At 46.9% G+C, this 18,389-nt stretch overlaps 1 protein-coding gene and 1 long non-coding RNA gene across 10 annotated transcripts in view, besides 2 other annotated features; one reads left to right on the plus strand and one right to left on the minus strand.

Moving 5' to 3' along the window:
* Window positions 1-60: 60 nt before the first annotated feature.
* The window catches only part of CHRFAM7A (CHRNA7 (exons 5-10) and FAM7A (exons A-E) fusion), a 33,335-nt gene continuing 15,006 nt past the window's right edge, over window positions 61-18,389 (minus strand). For 3 of the 5 annotated variants that reach the window (XM_011522153.3, XM_005254750.4, NM_139320.2), the window contains 6 exons: window positions 16,525-16,604; window positions 12,473-12,640; window positions 11,642-11,836; window positions 10,593-10,679; window positions 6,913-7,022; window positions 61-2,306 (listed from right to left, as the gene is read on the minus strand). In XM_011522153.3, the coding sequence (XP_011520455.1) occupies window positions 1,788-2,306; window positions 6,913-7,022; window positions 10,593-10,679; window positions 11,642-11,836; window positions 12,473-12,640; window positions 16,525-16,604 (1,159 nt within the window). In that variant the 3' untranslated portion in view covers window positions 61-1,787. The remainder of the gene's footprint in view (window positions 2,307-6,912; window positions 7,023-10,592; window positions 10,680-11,641; window positions 11,837-12,472; window positions 12,641-16,524; window positions 16,605-18,389) is intronic. The other 2 variants (NM_148911.1, XM_011522155.4) reach the window with 2 other exon arrangements.
* On the plus strand, window positions 2,306-14,289 carry LOC105370751 (uncharacterized). Of its 5 annotated transcripts, XR_007064547.1 has the most exons (6): window positions 2,306-3,489; window positions 4,995-5,148; window positions 5,337-5,488; window positions 8,423-8,524; window positions 12,337-12,454; window positions 12,534-14,289. It is a non-coding gene; the product is annotated as an uncharacterized LOC105370751 (long non-coding RNA). The 5 variants fall into 5 exon arrangements; XR_007064550.1 differs by lacking the exon at window positions 12,337-12,454 and having other exon boundaries at window positions 8,423-8,539; XR_007064549.1 differs by lacking the exon at window positions 12,337-12,454.
* Window positions 6,548-7,048: an enhancer, noted in NCBI's record as "H3K4me1 hESC enhancer chr15:30659256-30659756 (GRCh37/hg19 assembly coordinates)". NCBI's record gives its function as "activates a minimal SCP1, AML or CMV promoter by ChIP-STARR-seq in primed H9 embryonic stem cells {active_cell/tissue: H9 hESC(primed)}" and the evidence as "EXISTENCE:reporter gene assay evidence [ECO:0000049][PMID:30033119]".
* Window positions 7,049-7,549: an enhancer, noted in NCBI's record as "H3K4me1 hESC enhancer chr15:30659757-30660257 (GRCh37/hg19 assembly coordinates)". NCBI's record gives its function as "activates a minimal SCP1, AML or CMV promoter by ChIP-STARR-seq in primed H9 embryonic stem cells {active_cell/tissue: H9 hESC(primed)}" and the evidence as "EXISTENCE:reporter gene assay evidence [ECO:0000049][PMID:30033119]".

Here is an 18,389-nt window from a genome sequence, read left to right on the forward strand (position 1 = left end):
TTCCATCTTCCTCCAGTGCAAACAAAGTCATGTGCATTACCCAGAAATGAGTGAGCCAGATGGCTGGAAAAGCACATACAATTTATTTAACTCTGAAAATCAAATCTTCCCTCATGATGTTCCCACCTCAGGGATTAGAAGCAAATTAAAAATCTCTAGGGGCTCAGAAGCCTTCTATAATTTTGAGCTCTGAGCAGTTGTTGGATGACACAATGGAACAGGAGAGGTCTTTCTTGGTGAATTACCCTCTGATCTCATTAAAGAATAAGAATGAGACCATCCTGGCTAACATGATGAAACCCTATCTCTACTAAAAATACAAAAAATTAGCCAGGCATGGTGGCGGGCGCCTGTATTCCCAGTTACTCGGGGGGAGGCTGAGGCAGGAGAATGGCATGAACCCAGGAGGTGGAGCTTGCAGTGAGCTGAGATCATGCCACTGCACTCCAGCCTGGGCGATAATCTAAGGGAAGAGCTGTATCATCACTTAGGTTTAAAAATTAAAGTTTCTCTTGTTTTAAGTTGCCCATCTCCAGTGAATCCACCCAAGGACTTTGAGCCAGCTTTTGGGGCTGCAGCTGGGGTGGACTGGCTTGGAGCAGGCAGACTCCCAAAGGCCAGAACTCAGAATTGCTGGCTTGTCAGTCACTGAGGGTCGGCCAGCTCCTCCCTGCTGCCTGCCACTGGCCAGGTATCCAGAGAAGGGATGGGCCACACCATCCCCTCCCTGGCGCCTGCCATACTGGGGACCAGAAGAGTTCCCAGCCTCTACTTCCTGGCCCTGACACAGGCAGAAAGGGCCTAGGAATATGTTCACTTTATGTTGTGCATTTGTATGGATGCACACATTTCTAAGACTAATTAACTCCAGTGCATGTGAATCAGCTAACACATTATTTTTTTAAAGCCCACGTAAGTGGCTTCACTTAGCTGTAGCTATTCTTTTGGGCTGTTAATTCTAGTAGAACTCTTATTTGTCCTATGGGTTCTGCAGAATAGAACAGATTTGCTCAACTCCTCAGTGTCTGAGAGCAGCACCTAGGAGTTATCTGGGATCCACCAAAGACACTCCGCGGGGCCTGGCCCTTGTTCAGAATAAACAGAAACCTGCGTCCCTTTGATCTCCTTGACAGGGTAGGTTTGCAGAAGTCAGGCAGGCTGGTAAAAACATCCTTAGTAAGACCAACAGTCTGTCTTTTTTTTTTTTTTTTTTGATGTAGAAACAGCATCAAGCTGTTTCTCTCTACCGTCTTTGATAGAAATAAAAATAAAAATAAAAAGTTGAATTGCAGAAAAGCTAAGAGGTTTTTAGTTTTTGTTTTTTGTTTTCCTTCCACCAGTCAATTATTGGAAAGGATTTAGTGAGTCTGGTTTATTTTAGCTTCAATCTGGGTTTGTACACAAGCAAAAAGCAAATGTTGAATTTTCAGGTAGACCTTCATGCAGACATGCAAAACCAACTGTCTCGGTGGTGAGGAGCCATGGGGAGCTCTCCGAAGGGCTTTCCAGGCAGTGGGCTAATGGGCAAAATGACTACTCAGTGGCCCTGCTGACCGATGGTACGGATGTGCCAAGGATATCTATCAGCCCATCTGAGAATATGAAACAAAGTGCTGAGATTCTACTACCTAAAGTAACAAAGAAACCGTAAGCAACACGACTGACAGCCAGAAGGGAACACTGGAGTTGTGGCGTGTAATGCTGTCCTGGATTAGCACCCCCAAATCTCGCCAAGCCAAAGGCCTTGCCCATCTGTGAGTTTTCCACATGTACAGAACCAGGCGTGGTTACGCAAAGTCTTTGGACACGGCCTCCACGAAGTTGGGAGCCGACATCAGGATGCCGATGGTGCAGATGATGGTGAAGACCGAGAAGGCCATGAGGCACAGGCGGTCCACCACACAGGCGGCGAACTTCCACTCGCTGCAGACCGCCTCGCTTTCGTCCTGGCAGCGGAAGCGGTTGGCAATGTAGCGGACCTCCTCCAGGATCTTGGCCAAGTCCGGGTCCCCCTCGGGGGGTTGCCCGCCGTGCAGGAGGTGCTCATCGTGCGTGGGGGAGCAGGCCATGCGGCCACACACTACCCCAGAGTCGGGGGTCGGGACACAGTGCACGCCGTCCAGGCCGCGGAAGCCGATGTACAGCAGGTTCCCGTTGCTGGCGGGCGGCGGCGCCACGGCACTCATCTCCACACTGGCCAGGCTGCAGCGCCGCTGCTTGTGCTGGCAGGCCGGGCGCACCTTGTCCTCCCCGGGCCTCTTCATTCGCAGGAACCACGCGCACCAGTTCAGAAGGATGACTCTGGTCTGGGGAGACAACAGAACGTTAAGAGCAGCCCTGAGGCGGACACGGGCTGATCCCAACAGCAGTAAGATCCTACAATACAAGCCCTGCTTCATTGGTCCTGGGGGTAGCAGCCTCCACTGCCTCCCGGATGATTTTAGCAGGCAAGCAGTGCTTGCGTATGACAAGCAGTCGAGTTCAACGTGAGGCAAGACTAAAACTGATGCACCCTGGGAACAAGCTAAATTGTTCTCCGGGGCAGGCACACTGCAATCTCAGGGAAGACAGCTTCGTGGAAGGGGAAGGCTATCTGAGCTGTGTAAAGAGGGAAAGTCAATTTCCCTCTCTGATCCTTCCTCATCTGTAACCCGGGGACCTTCAGATCTAACTCTGGCTCCCACACTACCTGTTAGGTGCCCTGGAAGGCCACTGCAAATTCGCAAAGAGTGTCTGGGGGAGGTTGTACATTTTCAAATGCAATCCCAGGATATCCATGAGACACCAGGTAAACTTGAAGCTTGAAGCAGTTCAGGCTTCCAACATCAGATTACCACATCTCTTGTGATGACGTGACCACTTTGCAAAGCTGTTTTTCAAAGTACCCTGATAAAAAGCAAACACCAAGGAACTTCATGTGAAACAGAAACTAGGTTAGTGGTCTCCAATCTGATCCCAAGATTTGAGAGGCGGTGCCGTGCCCCATAGGTGCTACATTGTTAAGGCACAAATACTTATTAAAGTGTTTTGATCTATTTAAAAAGAGAGCCTTGGGTATTATTTCTTTTGGCCAGGGGCTCTGTGAAAAATTTCCTGAGATACTAACGTGCTGTGAACCAAGGCAGTTTCGGAACCTCTAACCTAACTCAGTAGGCTTCAATGAAGACCGAATAAGATGATGTCTGGGAGAGTACTTTGAAAAGTTGAAGGCAGAAGTTGGCAAACTTTCTGTAAAGGGCCAGGCAACTACTCACTTCTGCTGATGTAGCACACATTGAAGGCGTCAAATGGATGGGCATGTTTTCTAAAATAACTTATTTACAAAAACACTTGGTGGACTGGATTTGGCCACCTAGGCCATAATTTGCTAACTTCTGGTCTAAAGTGTGTCCTAGAGTGCATGAAAGAAGCTGGAGAAAAATCACCATGGAGTTTATCCTGGTTTTGCCTCTCATGGAAAGAAGAGAGACAACTGAAGCCTCAATCCAGGTAAAGAAGCATTCTTGCAAGCCCATCCATGTAAAGTGTATGAAAAGTGGGCCTTTTCCCTGAAATTATCCAGATCCTGATTTCATTTACATTTTGTTTTATGATTTTGGGGAAATTCCATCAGTAACCTAACAGGTTTATTTCCTATCTTTAGGAAATAAATATACAGATAGTAAATTGTGCAGTTCGTATCTGCAGAGCTTTCATTCTTGGTCATCTTTTTATAACATCAAAGATAACTGCAACAAACAGGTCTGGGGACAAGAACAGGGAAGCACAAGACCAGTTTCACTGCAGCTATAAAAATAACCCTTTGTTTCCCATTGTACTTTACAAGCAGGCGGCACTCTGCGTGTCCTGGAAAGGTTGGGTCTGCTGACCTTGGAGGGTTTTTTATGATCAGTAAGGAGCAGGGACATATGGCCCCAGGTGAAACCTTGGGTGAGTTGGGCCGTCCATACAAGGCTCATGAGATAAGTCATCTCACTTGGGCCTTTCAGGGTCCGGTGAAATGAGTATAATCCCCTCACTTTACAGACCAACAAACTGAGGTTCAAAGAGGCTAATAAACTGGCCCAACGATGTACAATGAGTAAGTAAGTGGTTATGTCACTTCACATGTTTAGCCTTTCCCAGTCTCATCTGTCAAAGGGTCTGTAAGATTCTCTTCAAAACTTGCACAACCCCACCCCTCTGGGAAGGCACCAGAAAGCCTGAGCCAGCTCTCCTGGGAGGCTGCAGGGCAGTGAGTGTGCCTGCATCCAGTGGCAGCAGTGCACACAGGGAGCGAGCAGCACCAGGCACTTCTCCCTCCATGGCAGGGTCTACACGTCCCCCAGTGCACATCTCAAGCTCATACGATACACTCTGCCAAGTCCATTTTGAATTCCATGGCCTGAATCATTAACTTTCAAAGCCAAAGCATTTAAAAGATAAAATTATCCTCTTGGCACTCCTCAAACTGTGCTCTTGACCTCTTCTGTTAGGCTACAGTTTTGTTTCTGGCTGTGCAAATGTCACATAATGCCACTGCACCCGGCAGTATCTTCTTCATAGCAACAGATCATAATAAAAGTCCCTCGGAGGCTGTTTGTGTTTCACATACACATGGAATGAAAGAAAAATGCAGTGTGCTATATAAAGCAAGAGAAATGCATAAGCTTCATCTTTCATTTGCAGCCAATTGGTTTTAATAAGCTTTTATGCTGAGAGGTGAATAATTAGCATATGTTCTTAATTAAGATTGTTCTAGAGCAGTAGAGTGCTCCAGGTCGTTAAAAATGGTTTTGTGTCTCAATGTCTTAATTCTCTTATCTTCTCATCAGTCAAAATACTTACAAGAAATGAGAATGTTTAGATTTTTGTATTTGCATAAATAAATACTAGAAGGAAAAATAAGGAATTCATTAAAACGGTTATCAGTATTGACGGTAGATGCAGGGTAAAGGGGAAGGAATGGGAGCAGGATTTCCTTATGTATAATTTTAATTTTATTTTGACTTTAGAAACAGGTAAATGTATTACCTGCTTCAAACTGATGGATGGACAGACAGAAAGAGCAGCAAACCAACAAGCCTCCAGCTCTCAGGCCTCTCACCTCTGGCCTTGCATTTTCTTAAGTGTGGGTCAGCGTTATAAGGAAATCAGACAAAAATACAGGTGAATGTGTGCAAATGTACCCCAGTGTTTTAAGGGGGGGCCTTCACAAAACAAGCCTCAGGGAATGTAGTGATGTGGTCTGTGTGTGAGACATCACCATGTAGGCTGAGCTCACATTACTGCTTGTGTAATGAGCTACAAGTGAGTCTTTTTTTTTTTTTTTTTTTTTTTTTTTTTTTTTTTTTTAGGAGATGGAGTTTTGCTCTGTCACCCAGGCTGGAGGGCAATGACACCACCATAGCTCACTGGAGCCTGGAGCTCCTGGGCTCACATGATCCTCCCACCTCAGCCTCCCAGGTAGCTGGGACTACAGCCACACACCACTGTGGTGGGCTCACAGGTAAGTCTTTACTAAATAGTGTATAAGGGGAATGGGCCATGTGGGTGAAACTCTGAGAAGAAACAGTAATTTTGTAAAGCATTTCTTAAGAAGCAGTCTTTGCTAAGTGAGCATTCAGGTAACAACTCCACAATGACTGTTTCAGGAGGCCCAGCAATCCCCTATTCCTGGAGGGTGCCTGACAGCATCTCACCCCCTACAGCTGCATTTAGCTTGTTGGTGATTCCTAGATTCCCTTCTGAACTGGGACACAAGTGCTCTCCAAAGACAGACAACTTTTGGAATGTGAGGGCCTTTTTAGCTCCCCAAATCCTTAGGCCAGGCTCTCTAGACAGGAGGACGGGGAAGCTTTACAAAGCTCACATGAAGAGGGGAAGAAGCTCAGGCCCTCCCTAGGCCCTCATCAAGGTTTCCTGACTGCCAGGCAAGGGTGGATGCAGAGCTCTGGACACCGTGCAGGAGAGGATCCCTGGGTGGGTGAGCATCCGCAGATGTGGCCGGGCACGGTGCCAGCAGCTGGGGCAGGAGTGGTATGGCCCAGGCTAAGCTGACAGGCTGTGGGATGCCATCCTTTCTGTTTTCATCCGTTTCCTTTTATCCCTTCCCCCTTCTGCACTGGTGACAATTAGTCTTTGTTTCATAGACTTCTGGTTGGATGATATCCCTAGATGTACTGAACGTACATATTTGTACACAGCTCATTCTGTTTCTTACTCTTTGCTCCTCATTCTGTTGTGAAGCCTCAACCATGTTGCTACGCATCTGTCTCATCTGTTGCTTCCAACTGCAGCACAGTGCTTCACGGCATGCATCAAAAAACAAACTAGCTTCTCAAAACACCGTGCTGATTGATAGAACACACAGGGCAGCCAGTTTGAGAGCCTTACTCTACTCTGCAGTTAGATTAGACAGCAGTGCCACGGGGCATCCGGGAACACGTGCACCATGACTGCACACTACACAAAGACACGTCAATAGGTGACGAAATACAGAAACAAAGCTATTTCTGGCTGGGAACAATGGCTCACACCTGTAATCCCAGCACTTTGGGAGGCTGAGGTGGGCAGATCACGAGGTCAGGAGTTCGACATCAGCCTGGCCAACATAGTGAAACCCCATCTCTACTAAAAATACAAAAAAAAATTGGCCAGGTGTGGTGGCAGGCGCCTGTAGTCCCAGCTACTTGGGAGGCTGAGGCAGGAGAATTGCTTGAATCCAGGAGGTGGAGGTTGCAGTGAGCCAAGATTACACCACTGCACTCCAGCCTGGGTGACATAGTGAGACTCCGTCTCAAAAAAACAAACAAAAAACCCAAAGCTATTTCTTTAGGAATGCCCGTTTTTTGTGTGATTTTAAAAATAAACCCTAGGAGGAGCCTCCTTTACAGCGGGGCTCCGACTCCATCGGGGGTGGGAGGAACGTACCCACTTGGGCATCTTGCCCCCGTCGGGGTCGTGGTGGTGGTACTGCAGCACGATCACCGTCACCACCACCGAGAGGCCCACGATGATCATGGTGCTGGCGAAGTACTGGGCTGTGGAGAGAACAGATGCAGGGTGAGACCCGGGGATCCTGTGGCACTGCACGTCACAGGACAGGCACACCCTGATCAGGTTCTCTGACCGTCAGGGCCTCAGGGTGCAGTGATGCCCATGTGTCCAGGCCTGCAGCCCACATTCTGGGTGGGCAAAACCAGCCAGTGTGGTCTGACTTCCCGCCCACGGAGTGACCTTCCCTCACTTCATTGCACTTCCATGCACTCTGGCCGACTTGTCAGTCAATAAGAGCTAGCATCGCCTGGCAGGATGGTGATAAGCTTGTTCCTGTGGGTAAATACTGGATGTGAGGGCATGGGAACCATCCAGTGTTCATGATGCAGGCCTCTACTGTGCTCCAGGGGCACAATGAGGGCAAACCTGCACACCACCTGGCTGCCAGCTGTCCAGCCTGAGGAAGGGGTCAGTGGCAGGGACTTTTCAGGACGAGAACTTCAGTCTCAGCTTTGGTTCTAATGGGTCATGGGTGTCCTTCCACCTGGGCCCAGGTGAGGGGCAGCATGGAGCATCTGAGTGCTTCCATCCTGGTCCACTAGCTACTGGCTGTGAGTTTGGAGTGGATGCTCAGCCTCTTCGGGCCTCAGCTCTCCAATGGGGGTGGTACAAAGGATGACGTTTGTGTCCCCACGAAGTTCATGGGTTAAAACCCTAGTCCTAACTGGGATGGTATCTGGAGGTGGGGCTTTGGGAGGTATGAGATTGTGATTTATAATAAGAAATATGTATTTGGTCTTCCTCCCATTTCCTGGCACACAGCTCCTAAAACCTTTGAATCTCTGAAGTCATCAGTGTCTTTTTATATGCTAATGAAATGATTTATGGCTGAGGTTCCTGGATACCCTCAGGATGGGGTTTGGTTGCCAGGGGAACTAGCCAAGTAATTAGAGAGTTGGAACCTTCAAGCTCTGTCCCCTCTCCCAACCCTTGACCCCTGGGGAGGAAAGAGGTACTGACGGTTGAGTGGATCGCCAGTGGCCAATGATGTAATCAATCATGCCTATGTAGTGAAGCCTCCATAAAAACCCAAAAGGATGGAGTTCTGTGGAGACCTTCCCAGTGCTGAACACGGGGAGGTGTTTGGAGGGCAGAGAGGGCATGGCAGTTCCATGCCCCTTCCCAAATACCTTGCCCTATGCATTTCTTTCATCTGACTATTCATCTGTGCTTTATAATTAATGAATAAATATCAGTAAAATGTTTCCCTGAGTTTACTAGAGTGAGTCACTCTAGTAAATGGCTGAACTCAAAGATGTGCTTTTGGGAACTCCCCGATTTATAGACACTTGGTCAGAAGCATGGGAAGCCGGAACTTCTAACTGGCATCTCAAGTAGAAATGGTCTTGTGAGCCTTAATCTGTGAGTGCTGTGCTAACTCCAGGTGGTGTCAGGACTGAAGTGAACTCACTGTAGGACGCCCAGCTGGTTTCCAAGAATTGGTCGATGTGGGAGAAACGCCCCGCTTTGGTGTCAGAAGTGTTGTGTAAGTAGAGAAATGGTGACTGATTTTCTCAGGGGCCTTCAACAGGTCCTGAGGGTGCAGCCCTCATGAATGGGATTAGAGTCCTTCATAAAAAGAGGCTAAAGAGCTAATTCACTCTCTTTTTGCCACGTGAGGCCACAGCGAGAAGAGGGCCAGCTGTAAACCAGGGAGTGGCCCCTCACCAGAGCCCTGCTGCCACCCTTATCGAGGACGTGCAGCCTTGCAGAACTCTGAGAAATAAATGTCTGTTGCTTAGGCCCCCAGTCTACAGCAATTTGTTACGGTAGCCTCCATTAAAATAGGAACTTCTTCCTTGCAGGATTTGTGCAATGATGAGCAATTACACAGGCCAAGATGTCTAGGAGAAAGGAGGGGGCATTCTTTAGTGGGCAGCTCTAATTATTAAACCTTTGGTGTGGCTGTCCACTCAAGGGGCTGAACTCTAAGCGGAAAGCATCAGAGTGCAGGGCGCTAAGCATTCAGCTAGCCCTCACAGGCCCTCACGCCAGGAAGGAACTCACTGCCTTCCTACAAAGACCAAGAGGTACCTGGGAGGAGCTCTGCCAGAGCTGGAAGTTTGAGACCTAAAGTTAGCATCAGGGCCCCTGAGAAAAGGAAGGAGACTGGAGCAAACCGTGACCCTTATGAGCTGAATTATGCTTCCCCCTAGAATTCATATGTTGAAGCCCCAACCCCTAGTACCCTAGAATGTGACTGTACTTGGAGATAGGGTCTTTAAGGAGGTAATTAAGTACAATTAGGTCATCAGGGTAAGCCCTAATCCAATCTGACTGGTGTTCTTTTAATGAAGAAGAGAAAATTTGGACACACAGAGAGACACCAGGGATGCAGGTGCACAGAGGAACTACCAGGGGAGGACAAAGCATTGTGAAAGTGGTTGTCTGCAAGCCAGGGGGAGAGGTCTCAGGTTAAACCATCCCTAATGGCCCCTTGGTCTTGGACTTTCAGCAGTGCAACTGTGAGAAAATAAATTTCTGTTAGTTATTTAAGCCCCTAAGTCCATAGTATTTTGTCACGGCAGCCTGAGCAGACCAACCACCTCTGGAGAGATGGGGGTCAAAGGATTGCCCAGACTGAATTTCCATCAACAGAGGGCAGCAAAGCTGATGTCCCTGGGGCCATCAACATCCCATCCTTCGAGATGTGGGCTATGCACCAACCAAGCCTTTCCCAGCGGGTCATCAGTCCAGAGAGAGAAGGCCTGACAACTGCCCCCGGAAGGGAGGCTGCAAATCTCTACTGAAAGCAGTGTGCTGGAAGGTAGAAAGAATGGAGTCAGAATCAGGTGGAAAGGTGGTTCTTCCCTGTCTGGATGGTACCAAGAGAAAAATGATACCCACAAAGGCTTTTCATACCAACAGTTTCTCTGGCCAAAATACTGCACATACAGGGAGTTCCACAAAGAAGGGCCTTTGCTGCTTGGTTCCTAAAGCCTGGGGGTATCCAGGTAGGGCTCTCCCTCTAGCCCACCCCCAGGTAGACACAGCATAGGTCCTCAAACAGCAGGGGCCAGCAGGTGTAATGACAGTCTGTATACCTCCTTCCAACCTTCCCTGCCCAGTGGGAGTGGAGACTTGTTTTTGTTGTCCCTCCCTGGGTAGAGGATCATGCCTTATACCTGTGCAAAATATATTTTTCTCATTCATATTTCCCTAGAAACTTTTATACAGAGACATTGAGTTATCTCAGGACACAGTAACTGTGTGCTTCTCCCATTTTAACAAAGGCTTTGTGGGAAAACAACATCTTAAGCTAAAATGATGCATCTCTAACGATGAAATATCTGGCTTCAAAGCAAGCATGAGGAGGAGAATTATGAGGGGAAGGGGGGCATTTCTGTGAGATAAAAGTCAAACCTCAAAGCTGAATATCCCCTTCCCCTTACTTGGGCCCGGGTGACTCTGAATAGTTACAGCAAATCATCACCTTCCAGAGAAAATGGGGGCAGTGCAGCCGTATTTCTTCTAGTTTCATCTGCTGGGAAATCCTGGGCACACTCTAACCCTAACCCCATATCTCTAAGAGAGGAGCCCAACTCTTGCCTTACCTATCAATGGTACCGAATCGGATGTTGCGGGCATGATCTCAGCCACGAGCAGCATGAAGACGGTAAGAGAGAGTAAGACTGTTATCCCTAAAACATAAACACACAGCGGTTCCTCAGACAAAAACAGACAAGAAGGCCTCAATTCTGTCTAACGAGGGCTCCTAACCTGACACTCAAAAGAAAGGGAGGCGCTGGGGGGAATGTCGTGGAATGCACGTTTTCCCTATGTATGGGCGTGTGCATTTTCCAGGGGACGTTCCATGCCACTTACCAGAGTCCCAAAGGAGTCTCTTATGGAGACAAGTTTAGGACCCAGAATTTTAAAAGCATCAACACAAACTGAAAAATTTAACTTGGCACAATTATCTTTCATATTCTCTGTAAAATATTATTGAGAAGTAGTTTCACGTAGCAGGAAAAAGAAAATATGCAGTCAGGAGACCTGATTTCAGGTCTTACGTTTGCTACTCAGCTAGCTATGTGACCTTAGATACAACATTCAACCTTTCTGAACCTCATACTCAGAAGATATGGGTTTGGGAATGATTTCTACCATATCCTACATCTGATGTTTAGCAACTCTTTAAGACATTGGGAAACTCATTCCACCATTCAAAATCTTGGTTTCCTTAGCTTCGTATGGGAGTGATTGTAAGAATTACACTGGGTACTGTAACATACAAATGCAAGCTGATACTAAGCTAAATTGTTCCCTCGATGACCAGTCGCCATTGAGGAACAGGTGGGGTGGCAGGAGGGAAGAAAGCACAGGCCTCTCAAGGCAGAATGGAGCTGGCCCCCTCCCTGTGCATCCCCCATCCTCTGAGGGTCCTCCAGTATTCTCAGGATTACACAGCCGTCCAGCACGGAGCCCGAATCAGGGACCTCTGGTGTCCTGGAGCCACCGTGGGCTCGGAGGTCCATGGGATGAGCCAGGGAATCCCCAGGAACCCTGATGGAGTCCTGCGCTGTCTGCTGTGAGCCCTCCAGAGCTGATCTCAGCAGAAGGTCTCCAGTCTCAGACTCCCGCCAGACACTGGGGCGCTTACCCAGGGAAATCTTCTCCCCGGAATCTGCAGGAAGCAGGAACACCAGCAGGGCGAGGGCGGAGATGAGCACACAGGGGATCAGCAGGTTGAGGCCATAGTAGAGCGTCCTGCGGCGCATGGTCACTGTGAAGGTGACATCAGGGTAGGGCTCTTTGCAGCACTCATAGAACCTTTCACTCCTCTTGCCGGGGATTCCTCCATAGGGAGGAGGAGAGAAGGAGCCATTGTTAGAATACAATAAATTACCCTGTTTATTTCAATGTGTATACCACACACAAGCACAGTCCTAAAGTTTGCAAAGTGCTAAAAAAAAAAAAGGGGGGGGTTGTAATTAGCTTGAATAAAACCTTGTTGATTTACTATAGAGTTAAGAGTATTTTAGTGATAGTTGGCCAAATTGGTACATATTCTTTTGGTGGATTGGAAACACATGATTATAATAATTATAAATAATACATTACCAATTTTACACTGTTATAAATGTAATCACTGTTTTCCTATTTTAAAATAATCAAATATAGGTTCCCATCAACTGAAATTTGCTGTTCAACTTGCTTTTAGAAATGGAGTGGATCTGCATAACGTAGAGAGATCTATCCTCACACTGGTTTGTTTAAATGCATCCTCACTGCAGTTGCCAGTTCCTCTTGGAAAGCATGGCATATCCTAACTGTTTTCTGTTTCTCCTCCTGTAGCTCTCAGTAAATTATGGAGACTACTGCAAAATTCAATAAATGCTCGCACCGGAAAGGACAGTGGAAAATCCCAAACTTTTAAAGCTTGCCCAGGAATAGGAAAGCTTTCTTCCAGGCGGTTAGTCTCATGGCTTACCCACTAGGTCCCATTCTCCATTGGGGATATAGCCACTGATATCTGCCTCCTGCATCTGCAGATCCAAGGACCAGCCTCCGTAAGACCAGGACCCAAACTTCAGTTTGCAGTGCTGCACATCAAAGGGAAACCAGCGTACATCGATGTAGCAGGAACTCTTGAATATGCCTGTGTGGGTGATGGAAACAGAAGACTGAAACGGAAGCTGACTGAGATGTGCTGAAAATACACAGCAGTTCCTTCAGCCGGTTCCGCCCTCCGCACTGCAGCTAACACAGTCCAGAGCAAACGGAATCTGTCTTTTTATTTATTCGCAAAATCTGTAAAACAGAATCTCAGCTAAGCTTCACTGTCTTTTAAAATCCAAACGTAACACTGACATGCTCTCTCAAAGACTGTTTTGTGGGCTTTTTGTGCAAAAAGTTAGCTCTATAATCTGCATTTACCATGAGCATCTTCAGACTCTAAATAATAAAAGTAAAGAATGCAAAATATCTCAGAGAAGTTGATAACCCTGATGATGAAGTTAGAAATAGAATCTAAAAGGTGTGTGTGTGTGTGTGTGTGTCTGTTTGGTGCGGGGTGAGGTAGGCATTTTCTTTAGGTTAAAAATGGGAAGAACACATGATTATCGAGAAATACAATCTAGAATTCTGGTTAAAGCTAGAATTTTAACTAATTTAAATTCTAGATGAAGAACAGAACAAGCTGGGCACAGTGTCTCATGCCCGTAATCCCAGTGACTCTAAGACATTGACGTGGGAGGGTCACTTGAGACTAGGAGTTTGAGACCGGACTGGGCAACATAGTGAGACATCTCTAATAAAAAAAATTAGCTGGGTGAGGTGATGCATGCCTGTAGTCCCAGCTACTCAGAAGGCTAAGGCAGGAGCATTGCTTGAGCCCAGGAGTTTGAGGCTAAAGTGAAGTGAGCTATGATCGAGCCCCTGCACTCCAGCCTGGGGAACACACCTAGAATCTGTCTGTAAGAAAAAAAGTTAAAACAAACAAACAAACAAACAAACAAAAACAAGAACAGATAGATAGGTTTAAGCTGAAGAGATGGTGCTTGAAGGAAGAGTTTCCGCTGAAAAGAGCTATTCCAGGCTAGGACAGGTTGGAAGTGGATTTCCCAGAGGGCCAAGGGGAGGAAACCAGATAGAGGCCACTCCAGTTATTTACACTCATGTGCTCTTCCCTGCCCAGAGGAAGGCTGCATGGCACAAGAAGACAGGCACAGACTCGGTGTCCAGGTGTTCCTGGGGCAGGGCTGGCACTCTGCAAACTTCTGTTACTGAGTTACAGAAAGAGTGCACGCAGGAAGGGCCTCCACAGCCTTGCACACAAGGACCCCACCCCACAACCGAGTTGGGAAAAGATACACATTTTGTCCCCTGAAGTTCCTTTAAGTATGCTTTGCGTCCTTACATGAAATGTTTATAGGAATCTGGAATCATCACAGACAATCCCCCTCCATTAATAGTTGGATCCCCCCAAAACCCACCTTGTCTGCCAGTTAGTTGGAAAGCTTTGTAACTTCATGAGCCCATTTCTACGAAATAATGGCCCGAGACAGAGAATTTCTAGAGACAGAAAGCAGATCAGTGGTTGCTGGGAGTAGGAATGGGAATTAACTGCAAACAAGCAAAAGGGATCTTTGTGGGGTGATGGGAATGTTCTAAAACTAGACTGTGGTAATGGTTGCATAAGTCTGTAAATATACTAAAAGTTGTTGAATCATGTACTTAAAATGCATGATATGTAAATTCTCTCTCAATAAAGCTGTTAAAAAATAAACACATGAAATGGGGGGGAAAGTCATGTTATGGTCAAGTCTCTATTTCAAAGCTTGAACTCAAAACATTCTTTCCTATCCATGCCCCTCTAACTACAGACAGGGCAGCATCCTGGGACTCGTTCTACACTCCCAGGGAGCAGGCAGGGGTTTCCCAATCCAGGCGGCCCTGGGCCTTTCCTGCCAGCGTAAGGAAGCCCCTCATGGTCACAAGACAACGTGTCCTGTCCTGACCGGAATCCAGGGCCACTGCAGTGGGGACACAGGCCTGGAGCCCCAGAGGGGGCTGCTGCACTCAGGCAGCTCGAGGCTTGCAGTGCTGGTCCTGCAGCTGAAAATAGCCTCAGCCTTCCAAACAACCTGCAGCAGCATATTCTACACTGGTGACTACCGGAGGCTGTTTTCTAAAATAGCCCTCATAACAGAAGCTGCAACACGCAGGCCTGGCGAGAAAGACCTCGGGAGTGATGGAAGGCTCCCCCCACTACCCCTGTTTGCAAGGGTCCTGCTGGTAGGAGGAAATGCCAGGGCTAGCAGGAAAGCGGATGCTTCGAGAAGCCTGAACAGCTGGACTTCTTCAATCTCTTCCAATATTATTGGGAGGTGTCTACCATTGACAGGTTCACTCGCTCCTTTGTTCATTCAGGGATAAATGCTAAGGTGAGCAAAGGCTGACTGTGCCCCCAGATGCTTGTCACCTGCTGACAGGGAAGGCACACAGACAGCAACCGAGAAGGCACAGCCAGTATGTGTGGTATGTGAGTGGTGTGAATAGTGTATCTGGTTTGAGAGTGCATGCCTGCATGTGTGTAAGTGGTGTGTGTGAGGGTTGTGAGTCGTGTGTGAGTGGTGTGTATGGTGTGTGAGAGTGGTGTGTAAGTGGTGTGTGTGAGGGGTGTGTGTGTGTCTGGTGTGTGTGTGTTGGTGGTTTGAGTGGTTTGTGTGAGTGGTATGTGTGGAGTGGTGAGTGGTGTGTGGGTGGTATATTTGTGTGAGTGGTGTGTGAGTGTTGAGTCGTGTGGGTGGTATGTGAGTGGTTGTGTGAGTGGTGTGTGAGTGTTGAGTCGTGTGGGTGGTATGTGAGTGGTTGTGTGAGTGGTGTGTGTGTTGAGTCGTGTGGGTGGTATGTGAGTGGTTGTGTGAGTGGTGTGTGTGTTGAGTCGTGTGGGTGGTATGTGAGTGGTTGTGTGAGTGGTGTGTGTGTTGAGTCGTGGGTGGTATGTGAGTGGTTGTGTGAGTGGTGTGTGTGATTGTGAGTGGTGTGTGTGTTGTGTGAACAGTGTGTGTGGGTGGTGTGTATGAGTGGTGTGAGTAGTGTGAGTGGTGTGAGTGGTGTGTGTGAGTACTGAGTGGTGTGTGTGTGTGAGGTGTGTGTGAGTGGTGTGTGTGAGGGGTGAGTGGTGTGTGGTATGTGTGAGTGGCTGTGAGTGGTTGTGAGTGGTGTGTGTGTGAGTCGTATGTGTGAGTGGTAGTTAGGTGTGGAGGTAATTGCAGGTTGCCTCTGAGCAGAAAGTTAAACAGCTGCAGTGTGGGAGATCACCCTGGAATAAACACATTAAAAATCTTCTAAAAGATCAAAAACCCCAGCTGTTCCTATCAATATGCTAGTGCGCACTCTGCATGCACCTTTAGGCCATAAACCCATTTCCCTTGCCCTGTGAATCGACTGAAAAGATGGACTGGTGGGAAAGAACCAATCCAGGGAGCACTTAGCCTTGGAGGTGAGACACTGTTGGGAAGAAGTCAGCCGCTAGAGAGCTCTCCCTTGAAACCACCAGACCTTGCCTGTAACCTGCGTGTGCTCTTTAGCGCACGCACTCAGGATCCTGGAACTGTCATATCTCACCCCCGGCAGCTGGAGCGCTGCACCTGCCAAGACACTGAGTCCCGCAGGGAGGAGGATGGCAAGCTGGAACTGAGAAGCAGAGCCTGGAGAGGTGGCTTGCCAGGCTGGAAGGTGAGGTGGCCACTGCCCGGCAAAGGAGACTCGCTGTATTTGTACATTGGCTTTAAGGCACACATGGCAGAAAATAAGGACATAGTGGCAAAGACGGCTTGATTGAGACAAAAGAGGAGGATGGACTTCTGGGGGTAGAAAGCACACAGAAGCACAGAAGAGAAGAGAGAGGAAGAGGTGGGAGTGAGCAAAGGCGAAGCAAAGAGCTGGTCCACCACACGGGGGCACCGGCCAGACTGACTGACACCCAAACTCGCTTCAGTTTTCTAACTGGAAGAGGACAAAGGAGGTGCAGCTTACCTGGAGGCAGGTACTGGCAATGCCCAGAAGAATTCACCAACACGTTAGTGTGGAATGTGGCGTCAAAGCGCTCATCAGCACTAGAAACAGGAAAAGGACTGCATGAGCCAGTGCCACCAGGCTGTGGATTTCCCGAAGCCCTGGGGTCTGTCTTTGATGGAGCAGCAAAGACCTTGAGAGGGGCCCCTGTCTGTCCTCACAACCCCACACGCTGCCTGAGAGCACCACTGGGACTGGCCTGGGAGGTCTTCCCCGGGCACAGCTTGGAAGGGCCAGTGTCTACCCCCATTTCAATTTTCACACAGAACTGGTGATTTTTCTCACAATGTATATAAAACCAAGCTCTTAACCAAATGAAACCTGTAAACAACTCTGGAGGACATCGGCAGATGTGACATTTTCATGGTGTCCAGAAGAACAGAGGGTGGGTGAGGCACGCTGCCACCCTGTGAGCCTCATGGGGCAGGGTTTTCACTCGCTGTGTCCAAAGCTCTAGTTCCAGCCTCTTGAAGCGGACCCACACTTGGTTTGTGCTTCACATATATATCTTTTTTTTTTTTTTTGAGACAGAGTCTTGCTGTGTTGCCCAGGCTAGAGTGCAGTGGCATGATCTCGGCTCACTGCAAGCTCCACCTCCTGGGTTCATGTCATCCTCCTGCCTCAGCTTCCCGAGTAGCTGGGACTACAGGTGCACACCACCACACCTGGTTAATTTTTTTGTATTTTTAGTAGAGACGGGGGTTTCACTATGTTAGCCGGGATGGTCTCGATCTCCTGACTGTACACATAAAAATAGCTAAAATGGAACATTTTAAATTATGTGTAATTTACAAGTAACACATTTTAAAGTTACAGTATTACACTATTACTATATATGAATTATACCTCATAAAGTTGATTGGCAAGGATAAAAGGATATACAATTTGATAAATACTCAACGTTGGAAGTTCTAACAAAAGGCATTTTAAACACATTGACTGGGATTATCTATTGATACAATGTTTTTTTAAGAGTATTTCAGCAATTTTTCAGAAGTCACAAAGATATTTACTGCCTTCTACCCATTTGTTCTAGTTCTATGAATCTTTCCTAAAGGGAAAAAGAAAAAGCGGGCACGAAGATTTAATCTCAAAAATGTTCATCAAAATGTTGTTTACAACATTATAATACTATCCAAAAATAGTAAACAAAATGATCAGATATTCACAACATATAAAACGTTTACCTTAAGTATTATGTATTTTATTTTAAAATGTTGATAACATTTAAAATACATAATATATATGTTATGGGGGAAAACAAACATAAAAAACTATATCATGTGATTCTAATTTTTTATAAGCAAAACAAAACTAAGTATCTACTTCAATAATAATTATCTCCCAGACTAAGTTAAGGACCCTTTATCATATGCTATCAAGGTAATATAACCTGAGGTCAGAGAAAACCTCACTGGAAGTGGCTTTGGATGGAGAAAGAGAATAAAAGAAGATTCCTACCAGAGAACTTGTCTACCTCAGTATCATTTTATTCAAATTAAAACTGTTTTACAATCAAACCTCAATTTTTAACAGTGGGGGAAAAAACAGTATGTGTTAATTTTAGTATCCAAGGGGATACTAGAACCATTCTCCTGGCTGATACAGAGGGATGACTGTTCTCGGAAATGATTTGGAATGTCTGTCTGAAAATGTCAGCAGGGAGCACCCCATTCAGGTATATAACACGTTTTAAATAAAAGTGTTTAAATACATATTTCATTGATTCATTTTTAATGAGCATACCATAAGCCTTCTCAAAGTATTAAATGCTCAACCATTACCTAAAAATCCTACTTTCTATTACCAGATTTTACTTTGCGAGA

The sequence above is a fragment of the Homo sapiens genome, chromosome 15 (assembly GCF_000001405.40).
Source record: "Homo sapiens chromosome 15, GRCh38.p14 Primary Assembly".
Lineage (NCBI taxonomy): Eukaryota > Metazoa > Chordata > Mammalia > Primates > Hominidae > Homo > Homo sapiens.